The 19,477-nt window shown below is 43.7% G+C and overlaps 1 protein-coding gene across 4 annotated transcripts in view; it reads left to right on the forward strand.

Moving 5' to 3' along the window:
- The window catches only part of CHP1 (calcineurin like EF-hand protein 1), a 50,620-nt gene that overhangs the window by 26,010 nt on the left and 5,133 nt on the right, over positions 1-19,477 (forward strand). For 3 of the 4 annotated variants that reach the window (NM_007236.5, XM_047432125.1, XM_047432124.1), the window contains 2 exons: positions 5,479-5,606; positions 13,280-13,341. In NM_007236.5, coding sequence (NP_009167.1) covers positions 5,479-5,606; positions 13,280-13,341 — 190 coding nt within the window. Of the gene's footprint in view, positions 1-5,478; positions 5,607-6,887; positions 13,342-19,477 lie in introns of those variants that run through there. The other variant, XM_017021879.3, reaches the window with a different exon arrangement.

Consider the following 19,477-nt stretch of genomic DNA (forward strand, 5'->3'; position numbering starts at 1 on the left):
AAAAAGTTGCAAAAGTTAAAAGTAATTCGGAGAATACTTGTATATTTATTGCCCTGATGCATCTACTGTTATATTGTTAACATTTTGCCTCATTTGTGTGCTCTCTTCTTAGTAGTAGCCAATAAAAATATAATGCAAGCCACATACGTAATTTTACATTTTCTAGTAACCACATTTAAAAAGTAAAAATAAGTTAACTTTGGTAATATATATTTTATTTAATATATTTAAAATATTATTTCCATATATAATCAATATTAAAAATAACTGAGATCCTTTTTTCGTTTGTTTGTTTGTTTTAAGACAGAGTCTTGCTCGGTCGCTCAGGCTGGAGTACAGTGGTGCCATCTCGGCTCACTGCAACCTCTGCCTCCCGGGTTCAAGCGATTCTCCTGCCTCAGCCTCCGAGATAGTTGGGATTACAGCCACATGCCACCATACCTGGCTAATTTTTGTATTTTTAGTAGAGACAGGGTTTCACCATGTTGGCCAGGCTGGTCTTGAGCTCCTGACCTCAGGTGATCCGCCTGCCTCAGCCTCCCAAAGTACTGGGATTACTGGCGTGAGCCACCATGCCCAGCCTACATTTTTTCATAATAAGTCCTTGAAATCCAGTGTGTAATTTACACTTAAACACATATCAAGTCAGACTGACCATGTTTTCAGTGCACATAACCAGATGTGACAAGTGACTGCAGTATTGAACAGCGCAGCTTGTACACCCGTGCTTACTCTACATACCCTCTCTTGCAGACACTTTTTCCCTCTCTCTTTCCCCTCTCTCTACCTACACATACTCTACGTGTGTGTGTATATACATACATACATGCCTACATGTACGTACATACATACACATACATACATGTATGTATATACACATACTTATGTAATTTTTTTGTGTATGTGTGTTCACATAATTGTATTTCTGAACTATTTCAGGGTAAGTTGCATAGTAATGACCCTTTACCTCTGAATGCACCAGTGTGTGTTTGCTAAGAATAGGGACATTCTTTTACATATCCATAGTATAGTTATCTACTTCAGTAAACTTAACATTGATACAATCCTCTTATCTAATCTATTACTCTGTTTTATTAACATATTATCCAGTTTATTCTAATTTATATTCATATTCCAATTTTGTCATCCAATAATCTGTTTTATAGCACTTCCCCGCCTCCAGTACAGGATCTAGTCTGGGTCAGTTGTCATGTCTCTTTAGCCTCCTTTAATCTGGAACATTTCCCCAGCCTTTATTTTACTTTCGTGATATTGAATAAACATAGTTCTCACCACATATGCTTTGTCAAGTAGATTGTTCTTAATGTGGGTTTTTCTAACATGAAACTAGTCTTTTGATATGCTTTACTACCTAATACACTGCCTTCACAGTAGTGAGTAAATATTTACTGATTTGATTAGGTACCTTTTCAACAATAAAACTTACATATAAGCTTGTTTTAAGTAATTTCCTAAACAATCTATTCCTGGTTTATATGGATAGTCTATGACCCACAGGACTTCAAAATATTATATGGGTGCCAGTTTTTAATAATGAGACTGTCAATGAGGACACTGTCAGATAAAATGCCTGGAGAGGAAATTTTAGAACTCTAAATTGAGAGCAAAGGAATTTGCTAGTTGAGAGGGTTGGGCATTCAGGAAATGTGAGTGAAAGTCAGAAGGGGAATTAGGTCGGGCAGTTAGTTCATGTAAAGATGGGAATCAAATCACGTTGACTATGAGGAATCTTATGCCCTCTTTCATTTTTTCCTTTCTCTCTCCTTGAACTGCCCTGTTTGTTTCAGGTGTGGTTTTTATGCTGAATTCTTCCTTTTTTCTAATTCCTCTTTTACCCCTGCAAAGCATTGAACCCTATCCAGAGATAACTTTCACAGCTATGCTTTGTATCCAAACCTTTTGCAATGAAAAGTAAACCCAGGAGAGTCACTTTGCCAACTTTTTTTCAGAATTCCTTAGTCACCATTGATTACTTGAAGAAGCAGCTTGTGGGAAGCTGTTTTGTAAGACTAAACTACATTTGCTGTGACTACAATATCACCTGTCATTCTGTCCACCAATCTACTGCTAAGGAAATGGGACAGAGTGCATATGAGGAAGTGGAGGGCTCTACTGGGCTGCACTGCTTAGCTCTTAGCAAGCTGCGACTCTGCTTCTTGCTCTAATCAGATAGATATATTTGGCTTCTGGGTTTTTCTTTCTTCCCTAGGCATATGCACATTGGGGCTTTTTTTTTTTTTTTTTTAAAGAATGAGATTTGAAAGTGGACCATGGTTATTCAATTCCCTTTTACCCAGAAACTTTATGCTAGCAATAATCATTAATGTGTTTTTTCTAGCATATGTTTTAAACTTTACTCCACATTACTTGATTCCTCAGATCTGACATTTTTGACCAGATACTGGTCCATTAGCAGTATAGATACATCGAAGAACTAAAAGGTCATTCTTTTGTTTTGTTTTTTGTTTTTTTGAGACGGAGTCTCCCTCTGTCTCCCAGGCTGGCATGCAGTGGTGTGATCTTGGCTCACCGCAACCTCTGCCTCCTGGGTTCGAGTGATTCTCCTGCCTCAGCCTCCCCAAGTAGCTGGGACTACAGGCTCACGCCACCACGCCTGGCTAAGGTTTCACCACGTTGGCCAGGCTGGTTTTGAACTCTTGACCTCAGGTGATCCGCCCGCCCCGGCCTCCCAGAGTGCTGGGATTATGGGCGTGAGCCACTGCACCCAGCCAAGGTCATTCTTTTGAGTACAGATGGCTCACAGGCTAGCCTTTGAACTCTGCCTTTAGAAGGGCTATGAACTGCATGTCTATAGAGCACAGAAGAGAACCTACATACCTCAGCTATTCGGTGGGGCACAGAAAGGCTGGGGTTTTTTTTTTTTTTAGGTAACCACAGGAACCAGGCCATCTGCCTTAGATAAATAAATTATATTATGTTACATGGGGCATTCTTTTTTAATATTAAAGAACATTCTTCATTCAAGTTTTGAGAATTATTTCTTACAGGGTTATTGATTAGCCTGTGGCACAATGAAAAGATTTTCTCCAAGCTTAAGTACCAAAAAGGCTTTATACACAAGAGGTCTTTCAAAACTTTTTTTTTTTTTTTTTTGAGATGGAGTCTCCCTCTGTCACCCAGGCTGGAGTGCAGTGGTGCAGTCTCGACTCATTGCACCCTCCATCTTTGGGGTTCAAGTGATTCTCCTGCCTCAGGCTCTCAAGTAGCTGGGATTACAGGCATGCACCACCAGGCCCAGCTAATTTTTGTATTTTTAGTAGAGACGGGGTTTCACCATGTTGGCCAGGCTGGTCTTGAACTCCTGACCTCAGGTGATCCACCCACCTTGGCCTCTTGAAGTGCTGGGATTATAGACGTGAGCCACTGTGCCTGGCCTAAAAGATTATTTAGAGAAAAATTATCCAATTATGAGGGAATAATAAAATCATGATGTGTCCACAGAATTATGCATATGTTTTAAATGTTTCAAAGTATTTATATTGATTGGAGAAATGCTTAAAAGTTAAAAAAAAAGGCAGGATACTAATACAGTTATCTGAAAAGCATAGAAAAGTTACTAGAAGAAAATGCATTCATATATATATGAGGGAGTCTTGCACCGTCACCTGGGCTGGAGTGCAGTGGCGCAGTCTCGGCTCACGCAACTTCTGCCTCCTGTGTGTTCAAGTGATTCTCCCACCTCAGCCTCCCAAATAACTGGCAGTATAAGCGTGAGCCACCATGCCTGGCTGATTGATTGATTGATTAATTGATTGATTCCTTCCTTCCTTCCTTTCCTCCCTCCCTTCCTTCCTTTTCCTTTCCTTTTCCTTCCTTTTCCTTTCCTTTCCCTTTCCTTTCCTTTTCTTTTTTTTTGACATAGTCTTGCTGTGTCACCCAGGCTGGAGTGCAGTGGTGCAATCTAGGCTCACTGCAGCCTCTGCCTCCCAGTTTCAAGCGATTCTCCTGCCTCACCCTCCCGAGTAGCTGGGATTACAGGTGCCCACTACCACGTCCAGCTAATTTTTTTGTATTTTTAGTAGAGACAGGGTTTTACCATGTTGGTCAGGCTGGTCTCAACTCCTGGCCTCAAGTGATCTGCCTGCCTCAGCCTCCCAAAGTATTAGGATGATGGGCATGGACCACCGTGCCCAGCCAGAAAATATATTTATATTAACTGTGGTTGTAATTGGTAGAACTCGGATCAGTATTTTTCTATCTACTTTTCTTTTTTCCACATTTTCAAATTTATGTTTGCTTTTATAATTAAATAAACTTGGCTGGGCATGGTGGCTCATGCCTGTAATCCCAGCACTTTGGGAGGCCGAGGTGGGCAGATCATGAGGTCAGGAGATTGAGACGATCCTAGCTAACACGGTGAAACCCTGTCTGTACTAAAAATACAAAAAATTAGGCTGGGTGCAGCAGCTCACACCTGTAATCCCACCACTTGGGAGGCTGAGGCGGGCAGATCACCTGAGGTCGGGAGTTCGAGACTAGCCTGACCAACATGGAGAAACCCCGTCTCTACTAAAAATATAAAATTAGCTGAGCGTGGTGGCGCATGCCTGTAATCCCAGCTACTCCAGAGGCTGGGGCAGGAGAATCGCTTGAACCAGGGAGGCGGAGGTTGCAGTGAGCTGAGATCGCGCCATTGCATTCCAGCCTGGGCAACAAGAGCAAAACTCCATCTCAAAAAAAAAAAAAAAAAATACAAAAAATTAGCCGGGCATGGTGGCGGGCGTCTGTAGTTCCAGCTAGTCAGGAGGCTAAGGCAGGAGAATTGCTTGAACCCGGGAGGCGGAGGTTGCAGTGAGCCGAGGTAGTGCCACTGCATTCCAGCCTGGATGCAAGACTCTGTCTCAAAATAAATAAATAAAGCAAGACTTTATTTATTTATAAGCAGAGCAAGACTCTGTCTCAAAATAAATAAATAAATAAGAAAAATTAAAAATTAAATAAACTTTATTTTAAAAGCGGCCTTTCCATAATGTGCCTTAATTTTAAAATATCCCTTGGTATACATTACTGCAGGGGAGATGGGGGAGATGTGGGAGGTGGCTGAGGAGTCATTGGGCTGCCTGTGGCTCGCTGCAGAGTTCAAAGCAATGAGTTCAAGTTCTGGCTGTCTTGTATAGTGCTGGCACTACTCTACATTCATTTTTTGGAAAACAGATGCAAGTAAATTCAATAGATAACTTTATCCCTGGTAAGTCCTGTTACCTAAATCTGGTTAAATCATTTATAAAGTGGGAGTAATAGCACCTGCCTTACAAGGTTGGGGTGAGGCTTAAATGATATGGTACTGTGAGTCCCAAAGTACCATGCGTATGGAAAGAAACCTCATTAAATGACCTTTCAGGCTACCGTAGCTAAAGCTGTTGCCAGTATATTTAATTCATAAGAAATAATCACCGTGATTGACATGGTGTTGTGTTTGTTATATTTCACAATCAGAGAGGACCAGGTAAACTTCCGTGGATTCATGCGAACTTTGGCTCATTTCCGCCCCATTGAGGATAATGAAAAGAGCAAAGATGTGAATGGACCCGAACCACTCAACAGCCGAAGCAACAAACTGCACTGTAAGGAGCTAAAGTCTTCTGGCTTAAAATACTTGCTTTTCATTTCTTAAAAGTCATGTATTTACTCACTCATTATTTGAACAAGCATCTACAAGAGCATACTGGTTAAGACCTCAGACTCTGGAGCTAAACTGGCCAAGATTAAATACTAGTCTACCCTTTTTTGGTCGTGTGACTTTGGGCAAGGTACTTAACCTCTTTGGGCTTCAGTTTTCTCTTCTGTAAAATAGGATACTAAGGGGTTCCACATTGGATTGTTGTGAGGATTAAATGAGTTAATAAATGTCAAGTGCTTCACATAGTGCCTGGCATATACTAGGTACTTAATAAGTGTTACCTAGTATCATTATAATTCATTGAGCACCTACCGTGTGCCAGGCACTGTGTTAAGTGCTAGCATGGCAATAGTGAACAAGACCCAGGCCCCACCTTTAAGGAATAATGGCAATCCTCAGCTCATCTTAGAATTTGATAGACACTGGATGTGACTTAAGTAATGGGGGACAGCTGGATACAGTGCAAGATTTAATTTTTATACCCGTGTCTCATGCCTCTTTTCCTTTAATACTTGTTTGCCTTCCCTTCTGCCCTTATTGGTTCATGTACAATATTGCCCAATCCCTTACAACACTTCTCCAGGAAATTGAAATTAAATTTATCTTTTTATTCAGTACAAGTTGAAATTACAGTTGTATTAAAACTGACTGAAGGCTGGGCGCAGTGGCTCATGCCTGTAATCCCAGCACTTTGGGAGGCCAAGGTAGGTAGATCACTTGAGCCCAGGAGTTTGAGACCAGCCTGGGCAACATGGTGAAACATTGTCTCTAATAAAAATACAAAAATTAGCCAGGTGTGGTGGCAGGCACCTGTGCTCCCAGGTACTTGGGAGGCTGAGGTGGGAGAATTGCTTGAGCCTGAGAGGTTGAGGCTGCAATGAACCTTGATGGCACCACTGCACTTCAGCCCAGGTGACAGAAACTCTGTCTCAACAAAGAAAAGAAAACAAAACAAAATCTTCGAAATAGCACTAGTGGATTTGGGCGTTACATGGTGTCTTAGGATACCTTTAGCTGACTCAGCTGGCTTAAACAATAGGGAACTATATTAGCTCACTTTACAAGTCAGATTAGGCCGGCAGGAGGGTTGATTCTGTTTCAAGAACTAGGGATTTTTCTCTTTACTCTGCCATCCTCATAGTCTGTTTTATCCTAAAGTATTATGGTCACATGGCAGCTCTCAGTTGTTAACAGGGCTTTTTTTTTTCTTGTTCACATCTGGCAGTAGAGGAAGAGAGATATATATAGAGAGAGATCGAGACTGAAATTGAGCAACACTCCTCCCAAGCATGGAATGTAAGTCCTTCCCCTCACTTTGATAAGTCAGTTCAGGTCAGGAGAGTGCGAGTGCCGAGGAGATTAGGCTAATGAGATTCCCCTCCTGATGCTGTGATTGGGGTTCTGCTAAGGAAAAAGGTTGGAATGCCACAGAAATGGCAGACTTCAGGATGAGATAGAATAATAACAAAGTGCTATGCAGGTTATGCTTGGTTTTATTTTGTTTTTGCTTAATTTTTTGAGATAGGGTCTCACTCTGTCACCCAGGCTGAGTGCAGTGGCGTGATCACAGCTCACTATGGCCTTGACTTTCCTGGCTCAAGTGATCTTTTTGCCTCAGCCTCTCAAGTTGCTGGGACCACAGGCGTGTGCACTACACCCAGCTAATTTTTTATTTTCTAATTTTTTGTAGGGACAGGGTCTCACTATGTTGCCCAGACTGGTCTCGAAATCTTGGACGCAAGCAGTCATCCCACCTTGGCCTCCCAAAGTGCTGGGATTACAGGCATGAGCCTCCATACCCAGCCTGTTTTTTTCATTACATACTTTAGTCTTGGCTGTTGGATTAACTTTTATAGGAAGCTAAAAATTAATTAGAATTCTGTTGCAGTCTATGTATAGGGATCACATTCATGTAATTAGACCAGTAAAACCGAAGCTATTCTAATGCCAAAGAAAAGACTAGAAGAGTCCGAGAAGTCCTCAATTTCTGTCTAAATGTGTTGCTTCTCTTTGAAGTTCCCACAGGGCTGTATAAGCTGTAGCATGGTGCCTCTTACTGTAGACTGAGAGCAATTGAATGTCATATACCTAGCAATACATTTGCCACTGAGACACATTTACCTTAGAGAAAGGGGATGTGGGCCAGGTGCGGTGGCTCACGCCTGTAATCCCAGCACTTTGGGAGGCTGAGGCAGGCGGATCACCTGAGGTCAGGAGTTCGAGACAAGTCTGGCCAACATAGTGAAACCCCATTTCTACAAAAATACAAAAAAAATTAGCCAGGCATAATGGTGGATGCCTGTAATCCCAGCTACTCAGGAGGCTGAGGCGGGAGAATTGCTTGAACCTGGGAGGTGGAGGCTACAGTGAGCCGAGATCATGCCATTGCACTCCAGCCTGGGTGATAGAGCGAGACTCTGTCTCAAAAAAAAAAAAAAAAAAAAAAAAAAAAAAAAGGAGATGTGTTACTTAGAAATCTGGGTTTACAGGCCAGGCATGATGGCTCACGCCTGTAATCCCAGCACTTTGGGAGGCCAAGGCGGGTGGATCACTTGAGATCAGGGGTTCAAGACCAGCCTGGCCAACATGGTGAAACCCTGTCTGTACTAAAAATACAAAAAATTAGCTGGGCGTGGTGGCGGGCGCCTGTAATCTCAGGTACTCGGGAGGCTGAGACAGGAGAATACTTTGAACCTGGGGGGCAGAGGTTGCAGTTAGCCGAGATTGCACCATTACTCTCCAGCCTGGGCAACAGAGCAAAACTCCATCTCAAAAAAAAAAAAAAGAAATGTGGGTTTACAGAGGAGTGGAACCAAATTTTATTATGGGTTATACTTTGCATAGAATACTGTCTTCAGGAACTCTGAGAACACACTTTGTTCTATTTCTTTTCTAAGCCACGGTGAGAGAATTTTAATCACGATCAGCAAGGCTGAACTATGCCCATGTAGGCACAGGCCCAAGCACACATAGTGCCACTCTGCTCTTCTGTTTGTCTCCTGGAAGTGGTACCTTATTGCTTTCCTCTTTGGATTGGTGAGGTTATAATAATGCTTTCTGTAGGCCAGGCGCGGTGGCTCATGCCTGTAATCCCAGCACTTTGGGAGGCCGAGGTGGGTGGATCACCTGAGGTCAGGAGTTCGAGACCAGCCTGACCAACATGGTGAAACCATGTCTCTTCTAAAAATACAAAATTAGCCAGGCATGGTGGTGCATGCCTGTAATTCCAGCTACTCAGGAGACTGAGGCAGGAGAATTGCTTGAACCTGGGAGGCTGATATTACAGTGAGCCGAGATCACGCTATTGCACTCCAGACTGGGCAATAAGAGTGAAACTCCATCTCAAAGAATAATAATAATAATAGTAATAATAGTGCTTTGTGTAAAAGGTACAACCCTATCTACAGGTGGATAGTGTTTAAAAAAAAAAAAGTGAAAGGTATAATTCATCTTAGGCCCAGGGCATGGTAAGTAAGAGAGAAGTCTAGAGGTCTACAGGTTTTCCTTCCCACATTCTAATTGTCTTCTTAAATGGTTTAAGTTTTTATAACACATAATGATGTGGAAAGTAAAGAGTCTACATTAGAATATTTTTCTTGGGTGTTGAGGAGTATAGGCGGAGTAGAGCTTGGGAGAGTAGCCAGGAAGAAATAGCAGCATTATTCAAAGAATCCAAAAGGTAGAAGCAATCCTAGTGTCCATCGACAGATGAATGGATAAATAAAATGTTGTGTACACATACAATGAAATATTAGTCTGTATTAAAAAAGAAAATTCTGAGGCCGGGAGCGGTGGCTCACACCTGTAATCCCAGCATTTTGGGAGGCCAAGGTGGGTGAATCATGAGATCAGAAGTTCGAGACCAGCCTGGCCAATGTGGTGAAATCCCATCTCTACTAAAAATACAAAAATTAGCCTGGCATGGTGGTGGATACCTGTAATCCCAGCTAGTCGGGAGGCTGAGGCAGGAGAATTGCTTGAACCCAGGAGGCGGAGGTTGCAGTGAGCTGAGATTGCGCCACTGCACTCTAGCTTGGGCGACAGAGCAAGACTCCATCTCGAAAAAAAAAAGGAAATTCTGGCAAATGGTACAACATGGATGAATCTTGAAGACATTATGCTGAGTGAAATAAAGTGGATATAAAGGACAAATATTGTATGATTCCTCTTATGTGAGGTTTCCAGAGTGGTCAAATTTGTAGAGACAGAAAGTAGAACGGTGGTTGCCCAGGGCTGGGGGATGGTGGTGGTGATGGTAATGGAGTTATTGTTAAAAGGGTACATTTTCCGCTAGTGAAGATGCAGAAGTTATGGGGAGATGGATGGTGGTGATGCTTGCACAACAGTGTGAAAGTACTTAATGCCACGGAACTGTACCTGTAGAAAAGGTTTAAATGATACATTTTATGTATATTTTACCACAATAAAAAAAAAAGAAGCAGCCGGGCATGGTGGCTTATTCCTGTAATCCCAACACTTTGGGAGGCCAAAGTAGGCAGATTGCTTGAGGTCAGGAGTTTGAGACCAGCTTGGCTAACATGGTGAAACCCTGTCTCTACTAAAAATACAAAAATTAGCTGGGTGTGGTGGCACATACCTGTAGTCCCAGCTACTCAGGAGGCTGAGACAGGAAAATTGCTTGAACCCGGGAGGCAGAGGTTTCAGTGACCTGAGATCGCGCCACTGCACTCCAGCCTGGGTGACAGAGCAAGACTCCGTCTCCCAAAAAGAAAAAAAAAAAAGAAGCAATAGCATTGATTGAAGTAAAGGTAAAGGTTTGTAGCCTGGGCAACAGAGCCTGGGCAACAGAACCTGGGCAACAGTATCTACAAAAAAAAAAAAAATTGAGCTGGGCATGGTGGCACATGCCTGTATTCCTAGCTGCTCAGGAGGCTGAGGCAGGAGGATCACTTGAGCCCAGAAGTTTGGGTCTGCAGTGAGCCATGATTGCACCACTGCACTCCAGTGACAGAGTGAGGCCCTATCTCTTAAAAAAAAAAAAAAAAAAGCATAAAAAAGGAAGGTAAAGGTTTGACTGAGATCATTCCTTTGGTTTTTCATTAAACAAATGTTTGAGCACCTACTACATGCCAGGTACTATTTTAGGCCCAGGATACAGTGATGAATAAATCAGGTAAGGCCCTTGCTTTCTTAGAACTTATGATCTAATAAGAGAGACAGACTATAGAGAAGACGGGTGAATAAACAAGATTTATTGTGGTGACAAGGTCTGTGAAGGAAGTGAATACATGAGATGAGAAAGGCATAGGGAGATGTCACTATAGAAAGAGTGGTCAGTGAAAACCTCTCTGAGGAGTTGAAATTTGAGCTGAAGGCCCAGGCACAGTGGCTTACACCTATAATCCCAGCACTTTGGGAGGCTGAGGCAGGAGGATTGCTTGAGCCCAGGTGTTCAAGACCAGCTGTCTGGGCGCAGTGGCTCATGCCTGTAATCCCAGGGCTTTGGCAGGCTGAGGCAGGTAGATCACAAGGTCAAGAGATCGAGACCATCCTGGCCAACATGGTGAAACCCCATCTCTACTAAAAATACAAAAATTAGCTGGGCGTGGTGGCACATGCCTATAATCCCAGCTACTCGGGAGTCTGAGGCAGAATTGCTTGAACCCGGGAGGCGGAGGTTACAGTGAACCGAGATCATGCCACTGCACTCCAGCCTGGGCGACAGAGCAAGACTCCATCTCAAAAAAAAAAAAAATTCAGGCCAGGCGCGATGGCTCACGCCTGTAATCCCAGCACTTTGGGAGGCCGAGGTGGTTAGATCATGCGGTTAGATCATGAGGTTAGGAGATCGAGACCATCCTGGCTAACACGGTGAAACCCTGTCTGTACTAAAAACACACACACAAAAAATTAGCCAGGCGTGGTGGTGGGCGCCTGTAGTCCCAGCTACTCGGGAGGCTGAGGCAGGAGAATGGCGTGAACCCAGGAGGCGGAGCTTGCCGTGAGCTGAGATCCCACCACTGCACTCCAGCCTGGGCAACAGAGCAAGACTCTGTCTCAACAACAACAACAAAAAACAATTTATCTAGACAAAGACCTTGCACCTTTCACCAGCCTGGGCAACACAGTGAGACCCTAGCTCTACAAAAATTTTTAAAAATTAGCCAGGTGTGGTGTCTGTGGTCCCAACTACTCTGGAGGCTGAGGTGAGAGGATCCTTTGAGCCTGGGAGGTTGAGGCTGTAGTGAGTCATGATTGTGCTACTGCACTCCAGCCTGGGAGACAGAGCAGGACCCTGTCTGAAAAAAATAAATAAATAAAATAAAATAAACCAACCAAATTAAACAGAGCAGAAAAAAAAATACATATATATGAAGTCTCTCCTAGCTACTTCCTTTCTCTGGAATTCTGATATATACCTTACAAGGAGTAAATTAGATTTTAAAATTACTTTTATGTCATCTTAGTGGACTCACCATTTTATTTTGGAGGGGAGTGATATTTAAACCTGTAGATATTAATCCATGTTCTTATGCCTTTGTGCCTAATAATCGCTCTGCCTGGAATGACCACCCCTTGTCTCATTTCTGTTTGTCTTTCAAGGCCTTGTTCAAATGTTACCTCTCCTTGATATTTCCCCAGCTGCACCAGAAAGCCACGTCTGCCATACACTTTGTTCCCCCAGCATTTTGGATATGTTGTAGTGCTTAGGATGTACTCGAGAGTCGTGTGTCTTGCCCTCCTCTACTAGATAGTGAGTTCCTAAGGACAGAGTCTAAATCCATGGATCTTAATAGCTCTAGAGCAGTGGATTCGGGCCTTTTAGTATTTGCAGCACTCTATTTAAGACCCTTAATCTTAGTGGCATTCTTGAAGTGATTCAAAACCTAAAAACCAAGCTAAATTCAGTTGTGGGACAAGACATTCACATCCTCAGGCTGGCGATTTGTCACGGCACCTATAAAATCACCCAGTGTTATCACCCTATTCTCTTGGTAGCCCTTCAGCAACATGGCAGAAATCTAATGATTTTGCTTTCTGATTCCTATCTCATGGACCCAAGCAAAGTTCTCCTATCTCCTAGTTTCTAGAAGGCTTAAAGAGAAAGAAACATGATAAAGCCAGGAGACCATCTGAGCCATCATATTTATTTGAAACTCAATTTCTTTACCTCCAGGACTCCCAAGTGGTAGAGAATTACTTGAAATTTGAGACAATTTTGCCCAGGAGGCTCTATTCCCAAAGCTGTGGTCAGCTCTCATGGTGCCTGTGTGGTGCCTATTGTTGGTTTTCCCTGAGTGGTACCTGGTAGATTTGATGTTTGTGTGAGGTGACCTAATTTACAGAACCACGTAAGGAGTGTTTTGGGGGGGGGCGTTTAACATTCTAGGTTAAGAAAAAGGACATTTGGCTTTCTTTGTATGAAGTTTTCTGATTTGTTGGAAGAGGGACCATACTTCATCTAATCTAAGAACTCATCAATTCTCAATTCTTCAGTGTTACAACTTTTTAAAAGCCCTACAAGTAATGGCAATTGTTCTTGGAAAATCGATTAATTGGCTGTCAGTTTTCTGTCTAGTGTCTTATATATTTAGTTCCTTGAGAAGGGGCAACACACTACAGAATTTTGACTAACTTTGTGTTTTTCCCTTACAGTTGCTTTTCGACTATATGATTTGGATAAAGATGAAAAGATCTCCCGTGATGAGCTGTTACAGGTATGTGGAGAGCTCCTCGAGAACTTGTGCTTGGACTCTGCCTGCTTATTAGTGTGGGCAGGAACTATTCTTTCCTTTAGTAAGCATTTATTTAATACCTGCTATGTGCAGAGTCCTGTCCTGGTTATAAGACAAAGGAGATGACCTGGGAAAACTTGAAATGGCTCATTGTGTTTTCATAGACAGATGTCTCCACTATTTAAAAGCTAACTAGGCTGGGCATGGTGGCTCACGCCTGTAATCCCAGCATTTTGGGATGCCAAGGCAGGCAGATCACCTGAGGTCAGGAGTTCAAGGGCAGCCTGGCCAACATGGTAAAAACCCATTTCTAGTAAAAATACAAAAATTAGCCATCGGCCGGGCGCTTTGGCTCACACCTGTAATCCCAGCACTTTGGAAGGCCGAGGCAGGTGGATCACGAGGTCAGGAGATCGAGACCATCCTGGCTAACATGGTGAAACCCTGTCTCTACTAAAAATACAAAAAATTAGCCGGGTGTGGTGGCGGGCACCTGTAGTCCCAGCTACTCCGGAGACTGAGGCAGGAGAATGGCATGAACCTGGGAGGCGGAGCTTGCAGTGAGCAGAGCTCACTCCACTGCACTCCAGCCTGGGCGACAGAGCAAGATTCCGTCTCAAAAAAAAAAAAAAAAAAAAAAAATTAGCCGTCTGTGGTGGTGGGTGCCTGTAATCCCAGCTGCTCGGGAGGCTGAAGCAGTAGAATCGCTTGAACCCAGGAGGTGGAGGTTGCAGTGAGCCAAGATCGTGCCACTGCACTCCAGCCTGAGCGACAAGAGTGAAACTCCATCCCAAAAAAGAAAAAAATAAGTAAATAAATAAAAGCTAACTAAATGGCTTTTAGGTACTGTCTGAGATTTACATCAGATAATTCAGTTATTGCCAAATCAGATTATTGGCAGCCAGGTAATTCTGATGACACTTAGTTAAATGCTGTTATTTAGTCTGTCCTTAGGGTTGACTAAGAGTCAAGGAGCTGCTGCTGTGCTGGTGTACCCTGAGCTAACTGCCACTGTTCTTTGTTGCTCCTAGGGATAATTCCCTGTTTTCCTACTAGCAGTGACTGGCATTTCATCCTAGGATGAAATTACTCAGGGCAGATTCAGGAGCAACCCAACGTATTCTTACATTTCTATCAGCAAAAACCAAAACAGTCTTCAGGTCAGTGTTAGCGTCCCTTGCTTTTGAGTTGGGAATTTCTTCAGCGAGAAGCGTTTATTTTCTTGAAAGTTGCCACATATGGGCTTCTGTGTTCTGAAGAAAAAAAGACAGTAGCAGTCACTCTATAGTTGCATGTGTTTATGCTCTGGCCCAGATCTGACCTCAGGTTATCCACCCGCCTCGGCCTCTCAAAGTGTTGGGATTACAGGCGTGAGCCACCACGCCCGGCCCATGTTTTCTTAATATGATTCTTGTGAAAGTCCTGGTTGAACTTTTGGAGGTCATTATCTTGATTGTGAGGATGGTGCCATGGGTGGGTACATATGTTAAACCTTATCCAATTGTACATTTTATTTATTTATTTATTTATTTTGTATTTTTAGTAGAGACGGGGTTTCAGCATATTGGCCAGGCTGGTCTCGAACTCCTAACCTCAAGTGATCCACCCACCTCGGCCTCCCAAAGTGCTGGGAGTACAAGCACGAGCCATCATGCCTGGCCCCAACTGTCCATTTTAAATATGTACAGCTTATTGTATATTATTTATACTTCAATAAAGATAGTTACTCTTCTCCCCAACTCATTTTATGAGGCTAGCGTAACTTTTGCCTGAGAATTTTTTTGTTTTGTTTTGTTTTGTTTTTTGAGAGAGTCTCACTTTGTCGCCTGGGCTGGAGTGAATATCACCATCTCAGCTCACTGCACCCTCCGCCACCCAGGTTCAAGCGATTCTCGTGCCTCAGCCTCCTGAGTAACTGGGATTGCAGACATGCACCACCATACCCAGCTAATTTTTGTGTTTTTAGTAGAGATGGGGTTTCGCCATGTTGACCAGGCTGGTCTCGAACTCTTGGGCTCAAGCAGTTCGCCCACTTCAGCCTCCCAAAGTGCTGGGATTACAGGCGTGAGCCACCGTACCCAGCCACACCTGTCAATCTTATAGAAGACAGCGTAAGAAAAGAAAATTAGGGGCCAGGCGCAGTGGCTCATGCCTGTAATCCCAGCACTTTTGGAGGCCGAGGCAGGTGGATCCCGAGGTCAGGAGATCGAGACCATCCTGGCTAACATGGTGAAACCCCGTCTCCCCTGTCTCTACTAAAAATACAAAAAATTAGCCGGGCATGGTGGTGGACACCTGTAGTCCCAGTTACTCGGGAGGCTGAGGCAGGAGAATGGTGTGAACCTAGGAGGCGGAGCTTGCAGTGAGCCGAGATCACGCTACTGCACTCCAGCCTGGGCAACAGGGCGAGACTCCGTCTCAAAAAAAAAAGAAAAGAAAAGAAAATTATAGCCCAATCTCTTTTACTCACATAGTTGTAAAAATCCTAAACAAAATATTAACACACTGAATCCAGCAATATAAAATATAATATATATATATTTAAAGCCAAAGATGTATTAAAGCCAAGGATGTATTATAGCCAAGGTGCAATTATACTAGAAATTCAAAGTTGGTTTAACATTAGAAAATCAACCAATATATTTCACCCACACCAACACTTTAAAGAAGAAAAACTGAGTGGTCTTTTCCATAGAAAAATGTAATTGATAAAATTCACCATCCATTCATTTTATTTTATTTACTTATTTATCTTTTTTTCTGGAGACGGTGTTTCACTCTGTCGCCCAGGCTGGAGAGCAGTGGCGTGATCTCAGCTCACTGTAACATCCGCCTCCCAAGTTCAAGCGATTCTCCTGACTCAGCCTCCAGTGTAGCTGGGATTATAGGCATGCGCCACCACACACAGCTAATTTTGTATTTTTAGTAGAGACGGGGTTTCACCATGTTGGTCAGGGTGGTGTCGATCTCCTGACTTCAGGTGATCCACCTGCCTCGGCCTCCCAAAGTGTGTGAGCCAGCTTGCCTGGCCTCACCATCCATTCATGATTTAAAAAAAAAAAAAAGAAGTCTTAGAAAATCAGAAGTAGAGGGAACCTTTCTTAAATCGATAAAGAATATATATATAAACCCTCACCAAACATTAAAAATAATAGTAGGCTGGGTGTGGTGTTTCACTCCTGTAATTCCAGCTACTCGGGAGGCTGAAGTAGGAGAATCGCTTGAAACCAGGAGGAGGAGGTTGCAGTGAGCTGAGATCATGCCACTGCTCTCCAGCCTGGGCGACAGAGCAAAACTCTGTCTTAATAATTCACTAATAAACTTCTTTTTTTTTATTTTTTTGAGACGGAGTCTCGCTCTGTCGCTCGGGCTGGAGTGCAATGGCGCGATCTCAACTCACTGCAACCTCCGCCTCCCGGGTTCAAGTGATTCTCCCGCCTCAGCCTCCTGAGTAGCTGGGACTATAGGCACCTGCCACCACGCCTGGCTAATTTTTGTATTTTTAGTAGAGACGGGGTTTCACCGTATTGGCCAGGCTGGTCTTGAACTCCTGACCTTGTGATCAGCCCACCTTGGCCTCCCAAAGTGCTGGGATTACAGGCATGAGCCACCGCACCTGGCCTAATAACTTTTGACTGGAACAATAAGTGGCAACATGGACAGGTAGAGGGAGCACTGAGCTGGGAATGGAGGCCTGGGCAGATAGCTCATGCCACTGGTTCCTGGGACCTGAGTCAAGCCACCTCTGGGCTGTTTCATGTCCTTATTAACAGATCGGATGAGATAACCTTTTTTTTCTTTTTTGAGACAGTCTCACTACATTTCCCAGGCTGGCTTGAATGCTTAGGCTCAAGTGATCCTCTGGCCTTAGCCTTCCAAGTAGGTGGGTCCAGTAGCTGGGACTACATGCATGTGTCACTGCACCTGGTGAAATGATGTTAAAGACACCACTACTTTTATCCCGACCCTCCGACTCACACTATAGATACCCATACATAATCCAGTTTTCTAATTCTACAAATAAAACACCTCAGAAAAATTTGGTCTGGGATCTGAAGAAGCTGCTGTCTGAGGTTGGATTCATCTGCTTGGCAACACACAGGGAATGTGGCAAATGGGTTGTCTATTGATTATCTTTGCTAGCATTGTCTTTGTTTTTTTTTTTTTTTTTTGAGATGGAGTCTCGCTCTGTTGCCCAGGCTAGAGTGCAGTGGCATGATCTCAGCTCACTGCGACCTCCACCTCCCGGGTTCAAGTGACTGTCCTCCCATAGCCTCCTGAGTAGCTGGGATTATAGGCGCGCACTACCATGCCCGGCTAATTTTTGTATTCTTAGTCGAGACGGGTTTCACCATGTTGGTCAGGCTGGTCTCCAACTCCTGACCTCGTCATCCACCTGCCTCAGCCTCCCAAAGTCCTGGGATTACAGGCGTGAGCCACCACATCCGGTGCATTGTCTCTTTTTATTAATTCTTCTATTGGGGTACATTTGTACCTAAAATGTACAACTTCCAATTTTCTTTTCTTTTTTTTCGTTTGAGAGGGAGTGTCTTTCTTGTCGCCCAGGCTGGAATGCAATGGAGTAATCTCGGCTCACTGCAACCTCCACCTTCTGGGTTCAAGCGATTCTGCCTCAGCCTCCCAAGTAGCTGGGATTACAGGTGCCCGCCACCATGCCTAGCTAATTTTTGTATTTGTAGTAGAGATGGGGTTTCACCATGTTGGCTAGGCTGGTGTCAAACTCCTGATCTCAGATGATCTGCCTACCTCGGCCTCCCAAAGCTTTGGGATTACAGGTGTGAGCCACCACCCCCGGCCAAAACTTCTGATTTTCAAGAATTGGTTTATTTAAAAAATAATCAGTTTGGATACAAATCAGTATTTCAGCTTTTTTTCTTTTTAGAAAATCATGTAATTTACTATTGATGGATTGGTTGATTGACTGATAGGGTCTCCCTCTGCTGCCTACTCTGGAGTGCAGCAACTATTCACAGGCATGATCATAGCACACTGCAGCCTTGAACTCCTGGGCTCAGACCATCCTCCTGCCTCAGCCGCCTGAGTAGCTGGTACTATAGGCATGCACTACCACACCTGGCTTGTAATTTCGCTCTTGTTGCCCAGCCTGGAGTGCAATGGTGCAATTTTGGCTCACCACAACCTCTGCCTCCCGGGTTGAAGCGATTCTCATGCCTCAGCCTCCCGAGTAGCTGGGATTACAGGTATGCACCACCACGCCCAGCTAATTTTGTATTTTTAGTAGAGATGGGGTTTCTCCACCATGCCCGGCCCATGAAATCGATTTTTAAAAAGTAAATTACAGGCCGGGCGCAGTGGCTCACGCCTGTAATCCCAGCACTTTGGGAGGCCGAGGCAGGCGGATCACCTGAGGTCGGGAGTTCGAGACCAGCCTGACCAACATGGCAAAATCCCGTCTCTACTAAAAATACAAAAATTAGCCAGGCATGCTGTTGGGCACCTGTAATCCCAGCTACTCGAGAGGCTGAGGCAGGAGAATCGCCTGAACCTGGGAGGTAGAGGTTGCAGTAAGCCAAGATCGTGCCATTGCATTCCAGCCTGGGCAACAGAGTGAGACTCCATCTCAAAAAAAAAAAAAAGAATCTATTTCATGAGATTGTAGAAGGGAGTAAAGGAGTGGAGGAAAGGAAGTCTATGAGCCACTGGGCTAGAGGCCCTTTCCTTTCTGTGGAAAAGCTCAGTTCTTGCCATCTGAAGACAGAGGTGGCTGACTGCAATAATAATATAAGGAGTCAGAAAGGTACCCTGTCTCCCATTTCATATTGCCTAAGAACCAGCCTTTCCATATTGCCTGACAGTCAAATTGTTAAAGTTGCTTATTTTGTTTAAGGAAGCAATTTTCAAAGTATGTTCACACCCTAAAGGTGTTAATAGAATTCCCAGGGGCCCAAGGATTGGTTAAGTTTAAGACAGATTTGGTGAAACAGTGTTAAATTCTCTTACTCAATTCTCGCAGCCTTTTAATTGTGCTTGTTATTTTTCTCAGAAGGGGATTTAGCATTTAACTCTTCAAGGATTTTTATGTTTTCTTGGGCCATACTTTAGGAATAGTTGGCTTAATGCAGCACTTCGAAGAGGA

Source organism: Homo sapiens, chromosome 15 (assembly GCF_000001405.40).
Source record: "Homo sapiens chromosome 15, GRCh38.p14 Primary Assembly".
Classification (NCBI taxonomy): Eukaryota; Metazoa; Chordata; class Mammalia; order Primates; family Hominidae; genus Homo; species Homo sapiens.